The following is an 11690-nucleotide window of genomic DNA, read 5'->3' as shown; positions in this document are numbered from 1 at the left end:
AGTTAAAGCTTTTAACACTGCTTGGGTGCCTGTGAAGTTGATGAATTCCTCTGCTGCTGATGGTGTCTCATGCTGATCCTCTAATGGGTGCATTGAAATATAATCTGCTGCATTATTTGCTTTCCCTGGCCCCTGCACAATTTTATAACCATAACCATGTAGATATTTTAAACCCCATCACTCAGAGCACATTGCTGCCTTGAACTGTGAACTGCCAAATATTGTCATGAGTACCTGATGATCTGTTACCATAGTAAATGCTGAGCCGTAAATGAATAAACGACAGTGTATGAAAACCAGGAGGGCTGGCAGGTCTCTCTCAAGTTCCCGAGGATGGTTAGGACATTCTTAAAATCGGTCTTGCAAAGAAGAAAGTAAATGCACTTTCACCTAGATTGGAAACAAGATATGTTTTCACAGATTTAAGAAAGCCCTCATAAATCTGGTGATGGAGTCTTTTTGTTTTTTCTTACTGTTAGGTAATGGCCTGTAAGTTTGGATATTGCAAAGCATGCTAGAGTTATTACCTTCATTTTCATTTGTCAAATGGCTGGGAATACACAAAATTATTTTACAATGCTTGACACTATAATAGCTTCCCAGTCAATGAAGCAGTAGAAAAGCCATATTTCTAACTGGGTCCCAAATTCTAATTTCTTAAGAAACTGAGACACGGTTGGTCTTGGTGTTGCAATGTCTCCATCTATAAAATAGAGATAATAATGGTTTCTCTGTTGTGGTATATATATACACAATGGAATACTACTCAGCCATAAAAAGGAATGAATTAATGGCATTTGCAGCAACCTGGATGGGATAGGAGACTATTATTCTAAGTGAAGTAACTCAGGAATGGAAAACCAAACCCTGTATGCTCTCACTCATAAGTGGGAGCTAAGCTATGAGGATGCAAAGGCATAAGAATGACAGAAGGGACTTTGGGGACTCAGGGGGAAAGTATGGGAAGGGGTGAGGGATAAAAGACTACAAATTGGGTGCAGCATATACTGCTCAGGAGATGGGTGCACCAAAACCTCACAAATCACCACTAAAGAACTTACTCATGTAACCAAATACTATCTGTTCCCCAAAAACCTATAGAAATAAAAAAATTAAAAAAAAACACACATCTCCACTTATCCTCCACTTCCCCATTACCCTTACCAGCCTGTGTAACCATCCTTCTATTCTCTATCTCCATGAGTTCAATTGTTTTAATTTTTAGCTCCCCCAAACAAGTGAGAACATACATTAACAAATGTAGTCTAAAACAATAAATAGAACAATATATGCAAAAAATTATAGTTTCTCTGGCCTGAGGTATTGTAAAGATTAGTTCATGTTTAAAACGAACTTTAAAAATGCAAAGCACTGGGCCGGGCGCGGTGGCTCACGCCTGTAATCCCAGCACTTTGGGAGGCCGAGGCAGGCGGATCACGAGGTCAGGAGATCGAGACCATCCCGGCTAAAACGGTGAAACCCCGTCTCTACTAAAAATACAAAAAATTAGCCGGGCGTAGTGGCGGGCGCCTGTAGTCCCAGCTACTCGGGAGGCTGAGGCAGGAGAATGGCGTGAACCCGGGAAGGCGGAGCTTGCAGTGAGCCGAGATCCCGCCACTGCACTCCAGCCTGGGCGACAGAGCGAGACTCCGTCTCAAAAAAAAAAAAAAAAAAAAAAAAAAAAAAAAAAAAAAAACAATGCAAAGCACTGTATGAAAGTTAGAAAAACAAGCTATAGAATATCTAAATCTTGATTTTTTGACACTGTAAAGCTCAATTATAAGTTTATTTTATTCGATGCCTTCTTTTACATTTTTCATATTAAAAAAGAAAGAAAACTAAACTTATTCTACCACATGTTTCATATAGCTTAGGATTTACAGTATCCTTCATGTATCTACATGAGTGCTGAAGATAATAAAATACTTGCGATTTCTAAAAAAAATTTCACTTTATTTAGGCTACTCTTCGATGTGTTTAAAGAACATAGATTGCTTTTCAGTATACTCCTCTTTCAAAGATAACTTTTTCCATAAAAAAGGATACGAGATTTAAATATTGTTTAGTTGGTGCACACAAAGTTTACTCAGTTTGTAAATTCACTGTGTATCCTTTTGTCTGGCTCTGATCTTTTGAATCTTGTGTCCCGGTCCTGATTACCAGGTTTCTGTTCTGTTTCTTTATGCCTGGCACTCCAGCCATGGAGAAAGGGACTCATATTTCTACACCTGTCACCTTCTGAGATACATAGCAAGATGGCCTTTTGTTCAAACAACAGTGTTCTATTTTTTCAGCCCCTCTATCAATTAATTGAATGAAGATGTAACAGCAGTTTAGTGTTATTATGCCAGACACTGTACTAGGCATTTTACATATTTCATCCAATTTAACTGCCACTACAACTCAATGAGGTTCATGCTGTATTTATCTCCATCTCACGGTTGGAAGACAGAGACTCAGAAAGGCTAATAATTTTCCCGAAGTTACAGAGTGGCAGAGGCAGGATTCAAACCCAAGCCTGTTTAGTAATCTTTTGATGCCTCCCCTCCTTTTTTCAGTCTGCAGAAAAATCAGCCATTGTGGTTTTAAAATATGTCCACCATTCTTTGGCATTTCTTCCTTCAAAAGGCAGAGCTAATTCTCATCATATAATTTGCAGAAGTGACTGCGTGACTTCTAAGCACATGGATGGTGTCGCAGCTTCCTCCTCGAAGGATCTTTCTCTTGGCTCATCACACTGGGGAAAACCAGCCACCTCTCCTCAGTCAGCTCAGTGCAGAGGTCCACAAGGCCTGAGGACTCCTGCCAAAAACCAGCATCACTTTGCCTGTCATGGGAGGAAGCCATCTTGGACACTGTTCTTCCAGTCCAGTGAGGTCCTCAGATGACTGGAGCCTTGGTCTACATCACGACCCCCAGCCTCATGAAACATATTAAACCAGAAGCACACAGCTAGGCTGATCTCGATCTCCTCACCCACAGAAACTGTGTGAAGCCATAAATGTTAATTGTTTTAAAATGCTAAGATTCAGGGTAATTTCTCATGCGGCAATATACCAGCAAATAGAACAGATAGCAGAACTGACAAGTGAAGTGATCACAGCGGTTTGGAATCCTAGGCTAAAATCAGGAACAAAAAGTTAAAAACAATTGCTTTTCTAGACATGTACAATCAATTGCCATAAGTTAAATTCCTAATACAGAAGCAGTTAATTTTGAAATATTGAAATTGATCACAACTTCAAACTGAGCTGCCAAAGTAATTCTTAAACAAACACACACACACACACACACACATACAAACAAACAAACACACAAAATCAATGTTTGTGTTGTCTTGGGCAGCATTCATGGAAACAGGATCATCCTTTCCCTGCCATCTTCTGGACAGGCCAGACCATGGCTAAAAACTCAGTTCTGTTCTGCGGACCCTATTTTAAGAAGCACGTGAACAGCCAAAGCACCACCCAGGATTGTGAGAGACTGGAAACCACGCCCAGTGAAGCATCATTTGGGAATCTGGGGTTCTTTGGTTCTGAAACAGCTAGACGAATCGATATAATTTTGCTGTCTTCAACTTTTTAAAGAGTTATAGCACATATGTGGAGGAGAACTTGTTCTGTGTTGCTCCATGGTGCAGAAATAGAATTACTGGAAGCCAGTTCTAGGAGGCCCCTGGTGCTGTCAGTGCTGGAGTGTCCAGGAAGAGATAGTGTTAATTTTCAACGAAGCTCTAGAGAAAAGGATGACCCCCTGCCTGAGAGGTTAGACTGCAAAACCCAGGAACCCTTTACATCTGTAATTCAGTGGCATTAGGACCCAATTTGGATGTTGGTGTGGGTGGCAGCAGTTACACTGGTAGCCTGGACTGTTCATATAGCTCATTCATGTCCCGAACTTGATCCCAGAAGGAATCATTGTTTCTTATACCATGAATAAGGGATGCAGGAGAGGGCTTATGCTGCTACCCTTGCATGCGGCGGGGTGGGGGATGGCCACTCTCTGGGAGATGTCTGCTACTTGAGATTGACAAAGAAAGAAGCTGCCCTGTCCTTTTTTAAAAAAGTTTTTTTTTGAGAAAGGGCCTGGTACTGTCACACAGGCTGGAGTGCAGTGGCACAATCGTGGCTCACTGCAGCCTCAACCTCCTGGGCTCAAGCAATCCTCCTACCTCAGCCTTCTGAGTAGCTGGGACTATAGGTAGGCATCACGATGCCTGGCTAAATTTTTATTTTATTATTATTTTTTGTAGTGACAGCGTCTCACTATGTTTCTCAGGCTGGTCTCAAACTCCTGGGCTCAATCGATCCTCCTGCCTCAGCCTCCCAAAGTGCTGGGATTACAGGTGTGAGCCACGGCACCTGGCCTGCCCTGTTCTTGAGTACCACCTCACTGTTATTTCCCCAGAGCAAATGTACACTGAGCTTGCTGAAAGTTTGAAGAAGTTTTATTTTCCACTTTATTTTTAAGTTCCTCTGTGTTAAATTATACACAAATTCAAAGTGTATTCATGTTATACATGCTGCTTTTAGTGTAATTTTTTTCTCATTTTGTTTTGCATTCCCCTTCCCCTCCATTCTATTCTATCCACATTAGACCTCCTTACCCCAAAAGGTTACCCATGTTAATAATCCAGTACCCATATCCTTCTATATGTCTCTCTGTGCTCATGTACATGTAAACACATATGTATTAAATATATCCACCTAGACAGAGGGCTTTTTGGTGCTGGTTCATCAATGTGGAATCATATTATACATAATTGCCTGCATCTTACCTGTAACAGTTCTCATTTCTACTTGCAATGCACAGGAATACTCTTTTGCCTAAGGTATAATGGCTCTTCATATTTTTTTGTCAAACCAATGCACACTTTCTCATTGTTACTTTAATTTGCATTTCTCTGACTTGTTTGTAATTTTGAGCTACTTTTTATATGTCTGTCAGCATTTGGATTTTACTCTTCTGGGAGTTGCCTGTTCATATCTTTGGCACCTTTGTTATTGGGCCTGTTCCTTGTTAGTTGTAAGGAGACTTTGTGCATTATGGGTATTGTCCTTTTTGTGAGAGCTAATGAATAAGCAGGGCACATGCGAACCGCAATAAAATGATGACTACATTGTGGAATTCTTACTCTTCATTAGGAATTCCTCACGAATCCCGTGACACCAGTATCTTGGCATACTGACCACATGATGTGGCCATGGTCATTTTTACACTAAATTCTCAGTAGAGCTTAAATAAAAACTATACAAAAATAAATATTATGGCATTTTCCCTTCTCTACTCAATAGATCCTCTTGTATAATAGCACCTAGGAAAATGTACACACTTTAATTTCAAGAGGAATGCCTATTCCTCAGTTCACATCACCCTGATCTTAGTCCTTGGAAGATAGTAACACTTGCCTTATTTTGATGAAGGAATACATGGACCTCTGTCTAAGTCATTTAGGATGTATACCACCATTCTGAAATATTTTTTCCTTGATCATCATTTTTCTAAATGTTTTATTCTAACTCACACGTTTCTCCCTGACTGGAGTGAAGGGAGTTAGGGGGGTGAGCAAGGGAGAGGGACTGTTCAAGGTCACTCACCTCACATTCAACACAGCAAGATAGCAGCAAGTCAAAACATTGCACAGATGGGTGAGAAAGCAAGATTAGTCAGGAGTAAGGTTTAACCTATAAACTTGCTGGAAATGCACCACAAATCTGGTACTGAGCTTTCTTGCAGCTAAATGAAAAAGGGAAAAGCAATTGCCTATAAACTTCACAGTATTCACAAGTTAAATATTAATCTGTCGCTCAGGAAATAGCTCAAATATCCCTATAATTTGGCCAGAGATTAATTTTTTTCCATAGGGCTATTCATGTCACAGAGGACATACATTTCAGCCTATTTTTCCTTACCTAAGAAGAAGGGCCTGACTAAGGATCATCTCCTTGGTTTTTTCTTGCTCTTGTATGCTCTGACAGCTTGCTTTTTTGTGTTAACTTTTTGTTTGTTGTATAACTTCCCAGATATCATCCAATATGCCATTGACTGTGGGCATGTTCTTCTGATCCCATCATTTAGTTATGTCGAATTTGCCAGAGCTAAGTATGAGGCACAAAATCAGAAGACCTGTCTTTAAAGATTATGTGGGTCTTTTTAAATACTTCTTGTATTCTATATCCAGTGTCTGGAGCTACTAAAGGACTTTCCATACCAAAACACTACATCCTCTATCATTATCGTCTTCGAGTAAAACCACCACTCATGATGTAAATGAATTCTTTTGCTCATAATTGATATAGCAACTTGCTGAGTTGGTGGCTTTAGGTAGAATAGCTCCTATAGTATTTTTTAAATTAATAGACTATTTTTAGAGCAGCTTTAGAGTTATAGAAAATTGCTCAGACAGTACAGTAAGTTTCCATATATTCCCCCACTCAGTTTCCCTTACTACAAACATCGTGCATCAGTGCAATACATCAGTTATAATTGGTGAGCCAATATTGACACATTATTATTAACCGAAGTCCATGGTTCACTCTTTGTGTTATATAGTTCTGTGGGTTTTGTCAATGCACAGTGTCACATATCCACATTACAGTATCATACAAAATGGTCTCTTACTGCCCTGGCTTTAGGTCTGAGATAGTTCTGATAGTATTTTTTTTTATCACCTTTTAACATCTTACATGAGGTTATCTTATTAATGTTCAAAGACAAAAATAATATAATGTCCAAGTGCCCTCCAAAGATGGTCACATGTTTTAATTTAGCACATGGCTAAATTTCATCTCAGTTTAGAATATATATTTTTGTGGGACTTCGTTGTCATTTTCCATAGAAATTTATGACATTTGGAAATTCCTCTGGGGTACTCAATCCCATCATCAGTGTATTATCCCAAAAGAGCACATGGTGGCTTAGCGCAACATTCTGATGTTACAACAAGATGTCTAACTAAACATTCGAGACATAGCACCTAAGCAGTCCTTTCCTAAGCAGCATTATACTATTCCTAAATATTTGATGAATTCAATGAAGTGAGTCCTTCAAATTTTAAAGTGTTGTGAATTTATGCTCAGTAGAAAGCACTTCTAGAAATATGGAAGCCTGCAATTATTGTGTTATTTTGCCATCTGTCCCTTAAATGTATTGAGCATGCAAGAAAAAGATATAATACCCAGATACTCAGACATGCCTTTTACTTCACGTCATCATGATGTTTCCTGAGGTCACAGGCATGTGAGGCATCTGTGGTCATCAGTTAGATAAGTTATCATCTTTGGCCAGTGACTATGTCCTCAGTGAACATATCCGTGTGAACAGAGAGAGATATTTATTTACATGTGATTATCCATTAAGTTAACAAATTTTTATTGAGTCCTGCTATATACTAGGTATTGGGCTAGATGACACAGATAAGTCAACAGACAATTATAAGACAGGGTGAAAGTACATGAACATGGCATTTTAATGCTCACAGGCAGTCAAATCCTTGTGTTACAACTCATTTCCCAACTAAGTAAGTTGAGGCTAGGAAAGGTCACCTAGCAGTTGAATAGCAGAGCCAGGAATAGAACTGACTCTTAGTTAAGCACTCTCCTCTCCCTTGCCCCGTTCCCTTTTTTGTGTGTGTACTTAAACAATATTGTACTGTTCTGCCAAATTCGTGACATCTTTAATATTTTAATTTGTGCCTACTGTATTCCTTGGGATGATTTGAGGAGAAGGAAGATGCCCACAGAATTCTAGTGATGTTTAATTTAATTTGCCTTGGATGAAATTGAAGCTAAAATTGTTAGCCGAAAGACATACATAAGGAGGTATGAAAACCCAAGTATTGTTGTTGTTCTTTTCCAAGTTTGTTACAGATTAGAATTTCATCACTGGAGTTAAAAGCACTGGGGACATGTTGAATTACTTTCCTGATGGTATCTTTAAAATTTTCTCAACAGCTGAGTTTATTTTAGACATTAATCTTAGAGGCTGTCTCAAGAAAACACAAAAAGAAAAAATTTTTCAAATAACAAGATCTTGTAACAAGTTCTGAGGGTCACCTTTGTTCAAATCTGGCTCAGAAAAGACAGATGAACCATTGAGCAATTGAACTGTATCTGTTAAAATTGACCAGATAATATATATGTCTCCTTCTATCTCTTCATCTGAGTGATTCACACCAATGCAAATTCTGACCTACCTCTATTATTCAGTTTAAGAAGAGAAAGTATAAAAGATATATTAGTGCATGGTGCTGGATCAGTCACTGTCCTGATTTTATCTCTGCCTTTTTCATTCTTTTAAATTAGATTCTTCATTTTTCTTAAGCTTTCATGTTTCTTCATTTTTGTCGTGCAGCGTCCATAATTTCTCAACATTTGCAGCTAAGTCAGGCTGTAGAATATATCAGCTGTATTTTTAATGGTACACATGAAATTGCACTATAATATCCCAAAGGCAGAATACTGATTCTATTAAATTACAAATAAATGTAGAACATTCAGGGATGCTGGAATTACAACAAATGGTATGTCATCTAACATGTGGAACAGAATGTTTTCTCAACAGCTAAAAATTGCTTTTATTGTCTGAATATCGTAAAGGAGCTTTAAGTTGTGTTTAAAGTATGCTAATAGAGTGGAACACACATTTCGACGGACATATAATATTATATGCTAACCAGGTTCTAGGAAGCTTTTATTCTTTGCAGGTGCCCTATTTCTGAGGAATTGCCTTGACCCATGGTCCCTCTGAACTAGTGTAATAATAAGTCACAAAGATCCCAGAGTAACTCATTTTTGCCTTTTACAGTTTACAACAGTACTTTCATATACTTATCTCATTTTGATCCCATTTATAACCACACAAGGGATATGATTCTCAGCATTTTACCTATTACACATATGGTCCTTTATTTTCAGGGGGCTACGTTGGAAGGGAACTAACACTACTTGCCTACTATAAGACTTGTTGCTTAGAGCTCCTCTTCAAAGAGCATTTTTACATCTTTTTCTTGCTAAAAGATGTAAGTGTTCTGAACTCAAAACACTTCCCTTCTTGATTAATAACAACCAATCAAATTGGGAAGTGGTGGGAAAAGTGGTAGGAAGAAAATGAAATAAACCTTCAGATCATCAGGAAAGGAAAATTAAAGTAACCCTACCTGTGGAAAATACTTATTTTTTCCTAACAGAGGCCTGGAAATATCATAGCCTGAAGCCCCCATTTTGTCCTGGTCAGAGCACAGCAATCTATTTGCATTCCTGAACAGATCACCAAACCATAATGCCGGCAGCAGACATTGTCACTATGGATGTCCTGCCTGTATGCTAACCTGGTGCCACTAACTGACTGACAGTTCCCTAGTAGGAGGCTTCCTGTGTCTCTCTGCCTCCAGACACCCATGGGTCCTGGGAGCAAGGGAAGCCAGAATGTGGGGCAGACTGGAAGTGCCAGGGCATTAATGCCCCCAGGAGTGACCTCCACCACGGAGGTCTGGTTGTTAGTGGATGTGTTAGTCTGGGTCCTCTGTGAAGCAGACACCAAGAGGAGATTAAATGGACACACAGGAGAAATGCTGTGTAAAAGAAAATAGAGAAGGGGTCAGGAAGGCTGGGAGAGCTACCAGACCATGACGCAGGTCCAACCCCCAGGGAAGTAGAAAAAGAGAAGTTTGGGTGGATGCATCCTACACTGTGGTACAGAATAAACTGTCAGCAAAGCTGTTAGCAAGTCCTTGAGCTGAAGTCACCAATGAAGGAGTCCCATGTCCCCCAGGTACAGGCCCACCCTAGTATCTCCACCACCTTGGTCACTGGCAAGGAGTAGCCCTGAGAGATGAGGTTCAGCCCAAATCTGTCGACGGATTTCAGAGCATGGCTGCTGGGCTCTCAGCCAATTCGCCTGCTGGAATAGTTGGTCTGCAAGGTGCAGGCTCACGGCTGCTGGGGTAGATATAAACCCAGAAACTGTGAGGGGACAGGTCTGAGGTATGTTCCACACAGTTCCTCAGTGAGTTCCCAGCAGGACTAGGCCCCAGTTGTCCATTGCAATAACCCACTTTTACTGGCATTTCTTGTCTCACTTCTCTCTTTTCTCACTGTGCTTCCTGGCGTCAACTCTCAAATAAACTGCTTGCACCTCAATCCTGACTCAGGGCCAGCTTTTGGAGAAATCCAAACTAAGACAATGCCTTTCAATGATTAAGGGCTTTGTCTACCTTGCAGCAGGTCCTTTCACTGTGGCCGATTGGGATTGCCATTTTTATGCTCAAAATGAGAGTACTGAGACATCAAAACAGTTGGCGTTTACCTATTAGTGAGTCCCAAAGATATTTCTCCCTCTTCCCCCTCTCTTGAATCCCACCATCTTCTTAATTTTCCCATGCCTGACTGCCCCCTAAATAGGTGAGAATGGCCCTTAGCAAAATATTTCTTCAAAATCTTTGCTTAGAATTGCTCTTTCATCTTTAATAGAATGAGAAAGGGGTTAATTAGGGCCAGAACAATTAAGACAAAACATGCACAGAATATTCTATTTTATCTTTGTGAGACTCATACGGCTTGATTTGTGTTTTACCTGATGATGGGCGTGGCCAGTGTAGCAAGAACGGAGGCATTTGAATGGCATACCAGGCTCATCCCCTGAGCCTGGGAGATCAGCTGCCTTCCCACTCTGGCAGAATAGAGTGAGTTTTGAGTTTTACATCCTGCAAAACCATCAGTCAAGGGGTCAGGATAGGGGTCCCTGACTTCTCGGGTTAGGTCCCAAGGTAGGTTTGCCTTAAAGTCACTATGACAACATGGGTGATTGGGCTGTACTGTAAGCTGACTGGTGAGGGACAGATGCAGGGGGACCACCCAGGCACCCCACAACTTCTTGTTCCGCTATCTCCAGTGAGTTGAACGGAGCTGGCACTGTTTTGTGCTCTCCATTCTTGCATGCAGCGCTCTTTACTCCCAGCCACAGCTCCTATTCTTGTCACAATTGAGTATCACCCTTACAGGTGCTTCCTGAGACTTCAGGGTCTCCTAGTACTACAATCTGGATGACACAGTCACGATGGTCCTCTTGAGAAGCACCCAATCCTAACCCTCTTCATTTTTTAAATTTCAACCCCAAATTCTAATGAGGGAAGATCACAATTACGGTATTGCCAAGGGTTTCATCATTCAAATAAATGCCAATCCCTATTACCATGATTTTCATAGAAGTACAGTTGTCCCTTAGTATCCAGGACCCTGAGGATGACCAAATCCATGGATGCCCAAGTCCCTTATATAAAATGGCATAGTAGTATTTGCATATAAGCAATGTACATCCTCCCATGTACTTTAAATCAATGCTGGATAATTTATAATACCTACTAAAATGTAAATGCTACGACAATAGTGGTTATACTGCATTGTTTCTTTATTTGTATTATCATTTTATTATTTTTACTTTTTTAAAAAATATTTTTCATCTGAGATTGGTTGAATCCACAGTGGAACCCTCCCATATGAAAGGCCTGCCATAAATATATTTCAACACTAAAAATTAGAAAGAATGTTATCTCAAGACCGGATGCAGTGGCTCATGCCCGTAATCCCAGCACTTTGGGAGGCCAAGGCTGGTGGATCACCTGAGGTCAGGAGTTCAAGACCAGCCTGGCCAACATGGCAAAACCCTGTCTGTACTAAAAATACAAAACATTA

The sequence above is a fragment of the Homo sapiens genome, chromosome 2 (assembly GCF_000001405.40).
Source record: "Homo sapiens chromosome 2, GRCh38.p14 Primary Assembly".
Classification (NCBI taxonomy): Eukaryota; Metazoa; Chordata; class Mammalia; order Primates; family Hominidae; genus Homo; species Homo sapiens.
This window is presented reverse-complemented; position numbering follows the sequence as displayed.